The sequence below is a fragment of the Homo sapiens genome, chromosome 5, assembly GCF_000001405.40.
Source record: "Homo sapiens chromosome 5, GRCh38.p14 Primary Assembly".
Classification (NCBI taxonomy): Eukaryota; Metazoa; Chordata; class Mammalia; order Primates; family Hominidae; genus Homo; species Homo sapiens.
This window is the reverse complement of record NC_000005.10, coordinates 116,854,296-116,868,803: the sequence shown is the minus strand read 5'-3', so window position 1 is coordinate 116,868,803 and position 14,508 is coordinate 116,854,296. Positions and strand designations below refer to the sequence as shown.

The 14,508-nt window shown below is 40.5% G+C and overlaps 4 annotated features.

Moving 5' to 3' along the window:
* Nucleotides 588-1,335: an enhancer, noted in NCBI's record as "OCT4-NANOG-H3K27ac-H3K4me1 hESC enhancer chr5:116203165-116203912 (GRCh37/hg19 assembly coordinates)". NCBI's record gives its function as "activates a minimal SCP1, AML or CMV promoter by ChIP-STARR-seq in naive and primed H9 embryonic stem cells {active_cell/tissue: H9 hESC(naive and primed)}" and the evidence as "EXISTENCE:reporter gene assay evidence [ECO:0000049][PMID:30033119]".
* Nucleotides 3,283-3,826: an enhancer, noted in NCBI's record as "OCT4-NANOG-H3K27ac-H3K4me1 hESC enhancer chr5:116200674-116201217 (GRCh37/hg19 assembly coordinates)". NCBI's record gives its function as "activates a minimal SCP1, AML or CMV promoter by ChIP-STARR-seq in primed H9 embryonic stem cells {active_cell/tissue: H9 hESC(primed)}" and the evidence as "EXISTENCE:reporter gene assay evidence [ECO:0000049][PMID:30033119]".
* Nucleotides 3,827-4,371: an enhancer, noted in NCBI's record as "OCT4-NANOG-H3K27ac-H3K4me1 hESC enhancer chr5:116200129-116200673 (GRCh37/hg19 assembly coordinates)". NCBI's record gives its function as "activates a minimal SCP1, AML or CMV promoter by ChIP-STARR-seq in primed H9 embryonic stem cells {active_cell/tissue: H9 hESC(primed)}" and the evidence as "EXISTENCE:reporter gene assay evidence [ECO:0000049][PMID:30033119]".
* Nucleotides 6,004-6,548: an enhancer, noted in NCBI's record as "H3K27ac-H3K4me1 hESC enhancer chr5:116197952-116198496 (GRCh37/hg19 assembly coordinates)". NCBI's record gives its function as "activates a minimal SCP1, AML or CMV promoter by ChIP-STARR-seq in naive H9 embryonic stem cells {active_cell/tissue: H9 hESC(naive)}" and the evidence as "EXISTENCE:reporter gene assay evidence [ECO:0000049][PMID:30033119]".

Below are 14,508 nucleotides of genomic sequence, written 5' to 3'. Positions count from 1 at the left end.
AGGAGGCTGAGGTGAGAGGATCCCTTGAGCCCAGGAAGTCAAGGTTGCAGCAAACAGTGATTGCACCACTACACTCCAGCCTGGGCAACACAGCAAGATCCTGTCTCAAAAAAAAAAAAAAATATCAGTATTGTTTTATTAATTGTAACAAACACACTAAATAAATGTAAGATGCCAACACTAGGGGAAATAGGATGTGGAGTAAATGGGAACTCTCTGCATCATTTTTGCAACTTTTCTGTACATCTTAAACTATTTTAAATGTTTCTACAAAAGTTAACAATAATATATTATATAGTTCCAAATAGCTAGGAGGAGGATAACAAATGTTTCCAACACAAAAAAATGGTCGACGTCTGAGGTGAAGGATATGCTAATTATCTTCATCTGATCAATATTCATTATAAGCATCAAAACATCACTATGTACCCCATTATATGTATATTTATTATATGTTGACTAAAATTCAAATTTAATTTAATTTAAAAAATTAATTTTACCTGCTTCTTTTTATTTTTTTAAATATGGTACATTTTGTAATGTGGCTAAATTTTAAAATTAAACGTATAACTTGCATTATTATTTTATTGTTCAGCACTGCTTTAGCAAATGGAGTTGCTATGGTGCAAACAGCAGTGAACCTGCTATCAGGAAACCTCAGTTTGAGGCTTGCCTTTACCATTTACCACACATATCACACACCCTCCTAGCCCTAGGTGTCAGGCCTCTGAGCCCAAGCCAAGCCATCGCATCACCGGTGACTTGCACGAATATGCCCAGATGGCCTGAAGTAACTGAAGAATCACAAAAGAAGTGAAAATGCCCTGCCCCGCCTTAACTGATGACATTCCACTACAAAAGAAGTGAAATGGCCTGTTCCTGCCTTAACTGATGACATTCCACCACAAAAGAACTGAAAATGGCCGGTCCTTGCCTTAACTGATGACATTCCACCACAAAAGAACTGAAAATGGCCGGTCCTTGCCTTAACTGATGACATTCCACCACCAAAGAAATGAAAATGGCCTGTTCCTGCCTTAACTGATGACATTCCACCACAAAAGAAGTGAAAATGGCCGGTCCTTGCCTTAAGTGATGACATAACCTTGTGAAAGTCCTTTTCCTGGCTCATCCTGGCTCAAAAGCACCCCCACTGAGCACCTTGCGACCCCCCAACTCCTGCCCACCAGAGAACAACCCCCCTTTGACTGTAATTTTCCTTTACCTACCCAAATCTTATAAAATGGCCCCACCTCTATCTCCCTTCGCTGAATCTCTTTTCGGACTCAGTCCACCTGCACCCAGGTGATTAAAAGCTTTATTGCTCACACAAAGCCTGTTTGGTGGTCTCTTCACACTGATGCGCATGAAACTAGGTCCCCTCATATACAAAATGAGAATAAATAAGTCATTGCAAAGATGATATAAGACGGTTTATTTGAGGCAGGGAATGGTGGCTCACGCCTGTAATCCCAGTATTTTGGGAGGGTGAGACGGGTGGATCACAAGGTCAGGAGACCAGAAACATCCTGGCCAACATGGTGAAACCCCATTTCTACTAAAAATACAAAAATTAGCTGGGTGTGGTGGCGCATGCCTGTAATCCCATCTGCTCTGGAGGCCGAGGCAGGAGAATTGCTTGAACCAGGGAGTTGGAGGTTGCAGTGAGCCGAGATGGTGCCACTGCACTCCATCCAGCCTGGCGACTCAAAAAAAAAAAAAATTTTTTTTAAAGATGGTTTATTTAAAGGAAACTAGCACAATTCCTGGCCTATAATAAACAAACTCTTACTGACCGCTATAATGTACTGTATTCTTGCTCTTGCAAAAGAAGGCAAATAATCACAATGCAATACCAGAAGCCCTGGGGCACCAGAGAAAAAGGAATGACTATATAGTCAGAGAGAACATCTGAACTGGATGGCTAAGGATTGAGAAGAGAGTCCTACACAGGTTCAGAAAAACTGTGTATAGCCATGTTGATACCTCCAGTGTAGGAGTTAAACAACAATATAGACTTGTTTTCCCCTCATAGTTAGGGCTCAGTTTCTATCCATTTGGTAACTGCTTTCTCCACTGCCTACCTATCTTATTTTCTGCATGTATGCCCCAACTTAACACTTCATATGGAAAACTAGCACACTACAATTTCTACATTTTGTCATTTAACTTCTGTATCATATGCATAAAATTATTTTTGCCTTGAACTGAAATGAGTGTAATTTTAACTCATAGGGAAAAAAAGGGCTTGCTTATCTACACTACATAATCTATTTACACAATACTTATGCTCATCCAAATTTAGCCATACTGCTAAGGAATATGGCCCAAGGTTTTCTTCCCAGTGGGAGATGGACAATTAATTTTATTTCCAGCAAATGCTTTAGTGACTGTACTCTCTTCTCCTATAGTTGGCTTTCTCGCCATCCATCCATCCTATTCTACCCATTCATTCATTCATTCCATGAATGTTAAGTGTCTACCACGTGTCAGACACTGAAGATACATCCTTCTGCATGAATATGTTGTCATGCCATTTTCCTATGTGTTTGTCATAGTTTCCAGATAAAGTACAAATCACTTAAAGATCCAAATTATGGCTTCTCTCTCTCTCTCTCTTGCAGTCCTTTTACCTGCCAGCCCTCCTTCACACTCCAATCATTCTCCGCACACGCACACACACTACCATCACGATTACAGGGGCCAAGGGGAAGCCTCCCCTTTGCCCTCTACAGGTTTGTTGAAAAAAAAACTGACAAAAGACAGATTAACTGGAGAAAATACATACAAAGTTACTAATGTGCACATAGGAGAGAATCACAGAGTGATCACAACCCCCCAGTGGGGTACAGAAGCTTATGTACCACCTTGAGGCTACAGAAAGAATGGGAGCACAGAACATGGCCAAAAACAGAGTATTGTGGCAAATCAGATTCCAGTGGCCACACAGGTTATGGGCTGGGGAGAAGAGCTGGCTAGCAAAGGAGGTCTTGTTATACAGATGAAATCTCACCGGGAGCAGCCCTCAGAGAGAATAGAGAGTGAATGTTTCTTTCAGATATTTAAACGTGTCACACTTTCTCTCCTAAATCTTTCTTAGATCTGGAAAAGGGAAGGTCTCAGAGAAACTTGGCTGCATTAATGCAGATTTTCTGTACAGATGCAAATCTCTCCCACAAAAGACAGCTTTGCAGGCCTTCTGAACAACCATCTCAAAATAAGTCAGACAGGTATATTTTGGAGTAAAATATTTTTATTTCCTTCACTACCAATATCCATGCCTAGTATACTTTCCTACCCAGAAGAGGGAGAATGATGTGTTTTAGACTCAGCTGGAGATAAAGAAGAAAGGGAGGGAAGTATGAGATCACCTCATTTTCTCCTAAACATAACGTATCAATCTTTTTACCTTCACATTTCTCCTAATTCCAGATTACAAGTTTTGTTGTACTTTTCTTCCCACGAAATCCAGTTTTCAGTAATTGTGACTAAACTTGGGCTTGTGTCTTGGCAAGCTGTCTTCTTTTATTTGATAGATCACAAAAAGTTTCTCCTAAATATCCACCAAACCAAGTTTACCAGTCTTGAGAAAGAGAGACACATGCCACATTTCTCATAGGAAATGAGGTTATTGTGGGGTTTCAAGATTTCTCTATCCAACACTTGCCATGGTACAAAACCTTGCCATGGTTTTATACAAGTGAGGGCCAGGGGTAAGTTCAAGGTGCTGATGAACAAACTTGAACCAGCACTTTATTTGACTTTGACACAAACCAGATCTCAGGCACTGAAAGCAATTTAACTTAATTACTCTCCCAGTATGGAGCAAAATGGGGAAACTGAGTGCTATAATCAGTGCCAGTCTTCTTGACTGATCTGATTGTTAAAGCTGCAAAGGAAATCAGTTGCAGTGGTGGGGAGGGGGTGTTGCTTGGTTTCCTTCCTACTACTTAGTTATTATTCTGAGGAATGCATTTAATTACAGAGAGAACTCAGTTATTTGCTTTCTAGTAGCGGGCTCTTTTTTGGTTATTTCTACCGGCGCCATTCCTTTGCTGAAAAACAAAGGCATGTTTACAACTAGACCACATCTTTTGGCTTCCATTCCAGAGCTTTCTCCCACACCAAAGGAAAGCAAGGTAGTGTAATGCAAATAGCACCACAGTAGGCTACCTTTGCCAACCAGGGACCCATTTTCAACTGCATGCAAACTAGAGCTCTCCAAAGACCTGTGAACTGTAAATAACTTGGGTTGTGAAAGGGGTCAGCTTGGTTTAATTTAGAGCTTCACAGAGCCTTTCTGTAGAAATTCAAACGCCGGTGAACAAATCCCTCTGGGGCCTTTAAAAAAATTCCAGGGCCAGCACCTCTATTTACTCTTTAGACTCCTGCCTGTCTGGCGGAGGTCTGCTATTAAAAGCTAATCAGTTCTTCTATGGTTGCTGCTGGGCTCCCATAGGCAAGCCTGCCTCCTCACACAACCCCTGAATTGAGCTGCCTGAGTTCATAGCCGACTGGGGAACCCGGTAGAGGAAGCATTTACAGAAAAAGCATTGCTGAGGTTAATGCAGAGGCCAGGAAATGGCTGGGGGACCGGCAGCTAGTGGCCAGATCTTATCAGCCACCCAGCATAGCCCTCTTATTTTACAGTGGAGAACTCATTGGAGTCCTGCCCCACTAACACAGCTGAAGTCACCCAAGGAATTTCTTTTCCAAAACAATGTATCCTCAATTTCACAGTGGTCAGAAAAGTCAAAAAATAGTACGGAGCCTCTTTGCTCTCTGTTACCCTATTGCTGTCTGTCCCTTCTTCAGAAGTCATTTATAAGGAGACCCAGAATCCCAAAAGATCACAAGAAAAGTGTTCCAAATGAATAGATGTCAGGACCAGAAAGGTTCTAAGGACATCTTGTATCCTCCTAAATTCTCTGTAGACATATTGGCTTCCTTCAAGCCGCAAAAGGGATTTACGAAAGTTTTTAACTCTCACTTCAGCCATGCCCAGAAAATGGCTTAAATTATTGCAAAAAGATTTGAGTTAGCTTTTAGGAGGAGCCTTCTTAATGCAAATAATGTTAGGCATGAAATACTAAATAAGATTTTTCAACATGTTTTGCTCTAAGGGTATTTAAAATAGAGCAGATTTTTAATTTGTTTCCTGAAGTTATAAGAACAGTTCTGCTTTGAATCAGATGATTTCCCAAAAGTGGAAAACTTCACAAGATTTATTGGTAAAGACAGCTGCCTATTCTGGCAAGGAGAATGAAAAATATCCTGGTATATACCATAAAACAAGTTAATACTCCATTATGATCCTAACCTAGAACTGCTCCCCTAAGAAAGAAAGTTAAACTTTTTGAAGCAGATGGTTTAATGCATGATCCTCCCTTATCAATTTATACTGCAAGGAGATACCATGACAGATCAATGCTGATTTACCAGATGAGGGCCATGGTTCCTTTATAGTTCGAAAGCAGCCTCATCTTCTCTTTGATCAGCTGAGTCTCTGCACTGCTGACTTCAATCATGGACAACTGGGCCTTTGTGGGGGATGCTGTAGGCCCTCAAAGGTTTGTCTTCCTCAAATATTTGCTCTCCCCACCCCTTACACACTTAAGCATCAGATTTTTTGGTTTGTTTGTTTGTTTCTAAGTTGAAACAAACTTTGAAATCTTTGAGCCAGTCTTTGGTTAAGATAGGCATCTATGGTTATGCAAATATATTACCCAGGAAGGAAAATGTTTAATCTGTTAGTATCTATCAACCTGTTGGTATCCATATGCCCTTTGCAAGGTCAGTGAATACCTACACTAAAGAGTTTCCTAAGACCACCTGGCAGAAATCAAAGCCCTGAGAGCCCTGAACTGGGAAGGGTGTGTGTGTGTGTGTGTGTGTGTGCGCGCGCGTGTGTGTGTATGCGTGTGTGTGTGCATGCACGTGTGTGTGTATGTCAGAGAGAGAGATAAAACAGAAAGAGAGAGAAAGGAAAGAGAGAAGGGAGAAAGAAGAAAGGAAGGAAAAAAGGTAGGAAGGAAAGGAGGAAGGGAGAAAGAAGAGAAGAAAGAGAAACAACAAGAATACTATGACTGGGCTGGGCGCCATGGCTCACACTTGTAATCCCAGCGCTTTGGGAGGCCAAGGTAGGCCGATCATGAGGTCAAGAGATGGAGACCATCCTGGCCAACATGGTGAAACCCAGTCTCTACTAAAAATACAAAAATTAGCTGGGCGTGGTGGTGCGCGCCTGTAGTCCCAGCTACTCGGGAGGCTGAGACAGGAGAATCACTTGAATCCAGGAGGCAGAGTTTGCAGTGAGCCAAGATCATGCCACTGCACTCCAGCTTGGGCAACAGAGTGAGATTCTGTCTCAAAAAAAAAAAAAAAAAAAAAAAAAAAAAAAAAAAAAAAGAATACTGTAGCAGATGCCTGTAATCCCAGCTACTTAGGAGACTAAGTAGCAGGAGGATTGCTTGAGTCTAGGAGTTCGAGGCTGTAGTGCAGGATGATTGTACCTGTGAATAACCTCAGCACTCTAGCCTGGGCAACATAGCTAAACCCCATCTCTAAATTCACATTATTATTATTTTTTTAAATAGAATACCATGTGAGGGGTGTGAAGGCTGAGTGAAGAGCACGGTGTTCAGGGGAGCAACACTGAACACAGATAGATTCCCTGTTACAGTTTTGTTGAGGATAGTCTTGCACTAGATGTGCCCGCTCTTCTAGGTACTCACTTTGACTTTGAATCAGCACTAGAAAATTAGGACCTAGACTGTGAAGTGCTAGGAGGTAAACCTGGACTGGCAACAAGAATAACTAGAGCAGCTTAGGGAGCCTGGCAGGGTAGGCAGGCAAACTCAAATGTTTCCCTAAGAAGGATCACAGAAATCTGTCACCAGTGTGACTGATCAAGAAAGGGAGTTCTGAAAAGCAGCTGTTCTGTTGCTATAATACACACACCACTGCACATATGACGCCTGAGCCTGCCCACACAAAAATGAGTATACTCACAAGAATGCACACACACGTGTGTGTATATTTACAGTGATGCATTAAGCAAGGGTAGCTATGTGTGCAATTGGTTGACACTTTTTCTTAAAAAGAACAAAATTATGCATATACTCAAAAAAAAAAGAGCTGAGTTCTAAATCACTTCTAGAAATATCTAATCTCAGTATATATTTTCATGACTACTTTCTCCTGGTAAGTTTGACCTCCTTCATTTGGTTTCATAGACTCTGTATTTGATTTCTAGATGGTACACATTGCCAAATGCCAACATGTAGAGCGTTGTTTACTTTGGTCTTACTATATTGGCACCCTACCACACGTGTAAGAGTTTAAGCAAAAGCTGGGAAACCAGAGATTCTGTGGCCTTGGCCCCACTTGCCTACAGACACTTGGGCATTGCCAGACCCAGTATGAACTTATAGAAACTGCCCACCATGAGCAGGTGAGTCATTTAATATAGCCCAATTAGCTGCATGCCTGAATTAAGTGACTCTCCTGGGGACCCAGATGATTGACAGCCAGATCCCCATGTCTGGATTTTATCCATGAGACTGCCTTCGCTCTCAAGCCTAACCTCATTCATAGCTTGAGATGAACCACGTTCTTTCCTAAATGCCATTTATTTTGAATGAGCATCCCATTCCCAATTCCTTTCTTTCAGTCTCAACAGTTTGATAGCCTGTGACACTTTCCTCTGATTGGCCCTTTCCCATTCTCACCCACTTGTGTTGTTCCAGCTCATGCTTTTGGTCCTTAAGCCAAAGCCCTGCCCATCTCCAAGAGAGTTTCTCTATGCTTTTAGATTCTCCTCTTTTTACAGTGACTTGACCTTGCAGAATTCTTGGCTGTCCCAGGTAAGACTCTACCCTGCCTATCTCTTTTCCTCCATAAGTAAACAGATAATAAACTGGAAAAGGAAGGTAAATCCAGATTGTTTAGAAATGTAGAGGAACAAAGAAGGTGGAGCTGAGGCAGGAAACATTAGGTAGAACAGAGTAGAGGTCATAGATAGAAGAAGGAATGAAGGAAAGCAGGAATGGAACATGGGGGAGAGTACTCAGCTAAACTGGTTAAAAGGCTAGATCAAGAAAAGTTAACCTTGGCCTAAGAAATAAGTCACTGGGATCGATTTAACCCTAGGAAAGCTCCATTTACCTCAGGCAATCAAAAAAAAAAGTATGGAAACAAATATCTTAGCAGAGAAAACATTGAAGGAAGTAAGATTTCCAAAGTGCCAAAGAAGAAAGAAAATGAGAAAGTCTGAAGGCCATCAGCTGGAAAATCCATGACGGGGAGAAACTGGGGAAAATGTGTGGATAAGTTTCAGAGAAGCAACAGTCATCCAAACTTTTACAGGGCACAGCCCCTCTGCAATAAACCCTTTGCAGTTCATCCATCACTCATTAAAAGTGCACCAAATGAACCTTAAGGGAGATAGATGACCTTTCATATTTTTTCATGAATAATGTTAGTGATGATGTCTTTCATCTTCACGGAACTGCTTAGGGCCTAAAATAATTCCCAACCCTCCCTGCCCTTAATACAGAATGAAGTAGAAGGCCCATGGCAGAAGCACTGGGAATGCTAAGCATCCGTTTACTATTTAATTTTACCAGAGCACATAGTCCTTACGAACCAGTGTCTACTGTAAAATCTCTTTGGTGAGTCAGCATGTTGCCAAATTCTTCCTTTAAGCCTTAGCACAGCTGTGACATGAACATAAAAATACAGCTTCTTCTTCACAGTAAACTATAGAAGTAGAGTCCATATTCCTCTGGAGAAATAGCTCAAGGAGCTAAACTTTTTCTCTTCTCAGTACCAGAGTACCATCCGGTAGAATGAAATATTAGTCACTAAACAAGATTCTTGGAACTTGATAATGAATAAATGGAATTTGAAAAGTGATAAAAGGGCATAACTCAGATGCTTATGAAGCTCTGAGCAATATAGTGCTATGCAGATACTCAATATTAATGCTGTAATAGAATTTTAAGTTAATTTCAAGTTGAAATCCCCTGGAATATGTTCAGACTAAAGTCAGTATTCATTTTCTGATTAATTTTTTTTTAACTAAACTTACTTTCTCTTTTTTATCTAGGCAAAAGAAAAGAGTTAGAAAAGGTTTTAGTTGCAGTGAGTATTTCTTTTAAACCAAATGGGAAAAGCAAAAATCTAGACCTTGAAACCTCAAAATGCCTGCTTTAATTATTCTTTGTCATTTTAGGCAAAGATGATATCTTCCTTCCACATTATTTGAGTACTTATTGTAGTTTATTGTAGGAGTAAAGAGCCCTCAGAAGGTTCATGGAAAAATCAACACACAAAAGGTAGGTTAATAAGAGAAAAGGCACACAAATCTATTAGCATGTACAGGAAAGAATCACAGAGTGATTATATAAAATCCCAATGGGTCACACAGGTTTATATACCCAACTTCTGAGGGAAAAGGAAGATAGGGGAAGTGCGGATAATTTTAGGGAGAGAGTAAAGGATATTTAGGGGAATTCAGTAGGCTTGAAGAAGATACAACAGCCTGTGACAAAGTCTGTTGGGGCCACAGAGAGGGCAATGATTTGTGACAAATGTCTGTCCAGGTTTGTTGACAGACTTCGGTCATCCTTCCTGTAATATGAGGTCAGTTAATGAAAACGTAGGGAAGAGGCTAGAGGTAATTGTCTTCTTCTTTGGCAGGTACAGATTTTAGGCAGATAAGAAACTTCAGAGAACAACTTCATCCTGTTCTTTGGGACAGACAGAAGATTGAGAGACAGGAAGTTTGCGAGAAAAGGTCACAGAGACCTTGTGGCTTCTTGTTCAGTTTGTCAGAGGCATGTGATACAGAGCAACTCCATCTTAAACAGAGCTGAATAAAATCAGGCTGAGACCTAATGGGCTGCATTCCTAGATGGTTGGGGCATTCTAAGTCATGGGATGAGATGAAAGGTCAGCATGAGATACAGATCATAAAGACCTTGCTAATAAAACAGATTGCAGTAAAGAAGCCAGCTAAAACCCACCAAAACCAAGACAGCCACAGGACTGACCTCTGGTCATCCTCACTGCTACACTCCCACCAATGCCATGACAATTAACAAATGCCATGGCAATGTCAGGAATTTACCCAATATGGTCTAAAAAGGAAAGGCATAAACAATCCACCCCTTATTTAGCATATAATCAAGAAATAAGTACCAGGTGCAGTGGCTCATGCCTGTAATCCCAACACATTGGGAGGCCAAGGAGGGTGGATCACCTGAGTTCAGAGGAGTTCGACACTAGCCTGGCGAACATGGTCAAACCCCTCCATCTCTACTAAAAATAGAAAAAATTAGCCAGGCATAGTGGTGCAGGCCTATAGTCCCAGCTACTCAGGAGGTGGAGGTAGGAGAATCACTTGAACCTGGAAGGCGGAGGTTGCAGTGAGCCACGATCATGCCATCACACTCCAGCCTGGGCGACAAGAGCAAAACTCTGTCAGAAAAGGAAAGGGAAGGGAAGGGGAAGGGGAAGGGAAAGGGGAAGGGCAAAGGGAAGGGGAGAGAAAAGAAAAGACAGGACAAGAAAAGCACTAAAATGGGCAACCAGCAGCCCTCAGGGCTGCTCTGTCTATGGAGTAGCCATTCTTTTATTTCTTTACTTTCCTAATAAACTTGCTTTCACTTTACTCTATGGACTTTCCTTGAATTCTTGTACGAGATCTAAGAACAAGTGCAGCATGTCAAAGTGCCATATTCTGGGGTATATTTCTGAGCTCCAACATTATCAACTCAAGAATATCTGCATTTCTAAATTTCCTCTGGCTGAGAAGATTTTATCCATGAACGAAGCATACATTTAAATATAAAAGTAATTTAGAAAACAGGTACATATATTCAACTTCGTACCATCTCATTCCCCAATCTATCAACAATTTCTCAATGATTAGATAGGAAAAGATGATGAAGCCATAGATTGTTCACTGAAAAATCAATACACAAAAAGCAGATTAATAGGAGACATGGCACACAAATTTATTAACGTGCATGAGAAAAACCACAGAGTGGTTATCCCAAGCCCCCCAAAGGGATACAGAAGCTTATATACCATCCTGAGGTTACATAAAGAATGGGAACTCAGAGCATGGCCCAAAACAGGTTATGATGGTAAATCAGATTATAGTGGCAAGACAGATACGGGAGGTGGAGAAGAGGAGGCCTGGCTAGCAAAAGTGGTCTTGTTATACAGATGAAACCTCACAGGTAGCAGCCTTTAGAGAGAATAGATGGCAAATGTTTCTTTCAGACCTTTAAGGGTCAGACTCTCAGTTAGTCTTTCCTAGATCCAGACAAGGGAGGCCCTTGCAGAAAGCCTGGAAGCATCACTGCAGATTCTCTACAGACGCCAATCTCCCCCACAAAAGACAGCTTTGCAGGCTCTCTGAACAGCCATCTCAAAATATGTCAAAGAAGTTTATTTTGGGGTAAACCGTTTTTGTTTCCTTCAAAGCCATATTAAAAGAAAAAAGAAAAGAAAAAAAGGATGGAATAAATAAAGAGAGCAATGGAGGGATGATGGAAGAAAAAGAAAATAAGTTAGTTTGAGGCCCCCTGTGAAACCTAGTTATGATCCATTCATCCTTTCCCTTTATGGGGTCAATCTCCAAAGTGGCTTGTGTTCCAAATAACTTGTGTATACACAGTGGGTTTTCAAGAACAGGAAAGGAGTAGTATAGTTGTCCCTATCAAGAAAACAATTCTTCACATCTTTCACCCATCACAAGCCTGCTCAGAAATGTTTTCCTTTCATGGATGCAAATGAAGAGATGGAAAGAAAAAGGTTGGAGAAGAGCAATAATAGTAGGAAAGGGCTAGCTGCATCAATGTTAACCATAAAAAGGTATCTGTAATTCAGAGACATGGAGATAACTGTCTGTCTCCATCCTCCACATATCCCCATATGTATACCCTAGTGTCTAAGTTCTATCATTAGAAATTCCTCTGTCTCGTAAACCTTTCTCAGTGAAAGATTTCTTAATGTGCTCCTTCCTTTTTAAAACAGATTTATTGAGGTATAATTGACACATTTTTAAAACTATACCTATTTATGTGTACAATCTGGTAAGTTTTGACATAGGTATACATCTGTGAAACTATCACTACAATTAAGAGAATGAACATATCCATCACCCCAAAAAGTTTCCTCCTGCCCTTCTGAAATTCCTCCCCACCCCCGAAAGTAATTTACATTTCTATAAAGACATTGTCAGTGCTGTTCTGGCTGTTCTAGATCCTTTGCATTTTTATATGAATTTTAAATCAGTTTGTCAATTCCTACAAAGAAGACTGTTGGGATTTTGACTGGCATTGCATTGAATCAATAGATTAATCTGGGGAGATTAACATTTTAACAATGTTGATTCTTCCATCTCATGAACATGATAGAGCTCTCCATTATGTGGGTCTTCCTTAATTTCTCTTAGAAATGCTTTGTGGCATCCTGGGTTTGGGTCTTGTACATATTTTGTCAGATTTATCCCTGAGTATTTCATGCTTTGATGCTAGTGTAAATGGTATTCTTTATTTCAATTTCTGGATATTCACTACTAGTGTGTAGAAATATGATTGATTTTGTATATCGGTCTTGTATCTTGCAATCTTGCTGGACTCATTTTTCTGTTGTAGTTCGTTTCTGAGACAGGGTCTAGTTCTGTTATGCAGGCTGGAGTGCAGTGGTATGATCAGAGCCCACTGCAACCTCAAACACCTGGGTTCAAGCAATCCTCTCGGCTCAAGCTGGAGCTGGCACCACAGAAGTGAGCCACCACACCCAGCCTTTGAACTCACTTATTAGCTTTAGTCATTTTTTAATACATTCCATCAGATTATCAAGTTGTCTGAGAAACAAAACAGTTTTATTTGTTTCTTTCCCATCTAGATACCTTTTACTTCTTTTTCTAGTCTGAGTGCACTAGTATGCACAGGTCCGTTCTCACAGGTTCTATCCATATTGGACCAGAGGCTGAAGTGGCCATTCTTGTTTTGTTAGTGATTTCAGAGGTAAATTATCTTTCATCATTAAGCACGATATTAGCTGCAGACTAGCTCATACATTCGAGTTTTCATCTCTAGAATTTCAATTTAGAATTTTTTATGACAACTTTTGAACATAGGGAACATAGCTATAATAACTGTTTTACATTTATTTATTTTTTATTTATTTGTTTGTTTTATAGATGACCTTTATTAGGTTTAGGAATTTTGCTTCTTTTAGTTTGCTGAGAGTATTTTTCAGGAATAGATAGTGGATTTAGTAAATTGTCTTTTCTGTATTAAGATTATCATACGATTTTTCATTTTTAGTTTGATATAATGTTCAATTACATTTAAATATTGAACCAATTTTGCATTCTTTGGATAAGCCCTACTGGACATAATATATTACCTTTTTGACAGATTGCATTTGATTTCTTAAAATTTTATTTATAATTTTTGTATCTATAATTATGAAGGACATAATTTTGTACTTTTCTTATGTTGCCTTCATTTTATTTAATATCAGGGTAATAACAGTCTCATAGAATGAGTTAGGAAGTATATTAGTCAGAGTTTAATGAGACACAAATAAATTTGAACAGGAAAGTTTAACACAAAGAATAATTAATGGCCCAGTGGGCTGACTCATGCCAGTAATCCCAGCACACCAGGAGGCCGCCGAGGCAGGCAGATAACATGAAGCCAGGAGTTCAAAACCATCCTGGCCGATATAGTAAAACCCCATCTGTACTAAAAATACAACCAACCGACCAACCGGGCATGGTGGTGCACTCCTGATATTCAGGAGGCTGAGGTGGGAGGATCGCTTGAGCCTGGGAGGCAGAGGTTTCAGTGAGCTGAAATCATGGCACTGCACTCCAGCCTGGGTGACAGATCAAGGTGAATAAGTCAAAAAAAAAAAAAAAAAAAGGAAATGCAGAACTGTTTCCTATAAGGATTCACAACTACTGTGGAGCTAAGATCCAGACCTTGTTAGACAGGGCATGGTTGTGGTTTACCAATGGCAGAAAAGCCACTGTGGTACCATGCCAACAAAAGTTGATAGAAATCTACCATCCAAGGCTAGGCACGGTGGTTCAGGTCTGTAATCCCAGCAGTTTGGGAGGCTGAGAGATTATGATGGCTTAAGCCTGGGAGTTCCAGACCAGCCTGGGCAACACAGTGAGACCTCATTTCTACAAAAAATAAAAAAATTAGCTGGTATACGCCTGGTGGTGCACGCCTTTAATGCCAGCTATTTAAGAGGCTGAGATGGGAGGATAGCTTGAGTTCAGGAGGTTGAGGCTGCAGTGAGCCTAGATTTTGCCACTGCACTCCAGCCTAGGTGACAAAGAGAGACTCTGTTTCAAAAAAAGAAAAAAGAAAGAAAAGAAATCTACCATCCAAAACTTGCTAAAAATCTCCTTTCCAGGTTGTTAGGGAAAGCTGTTGATGGGGAGCTGTCTTGGTAGAGGTAGTCCCCTAT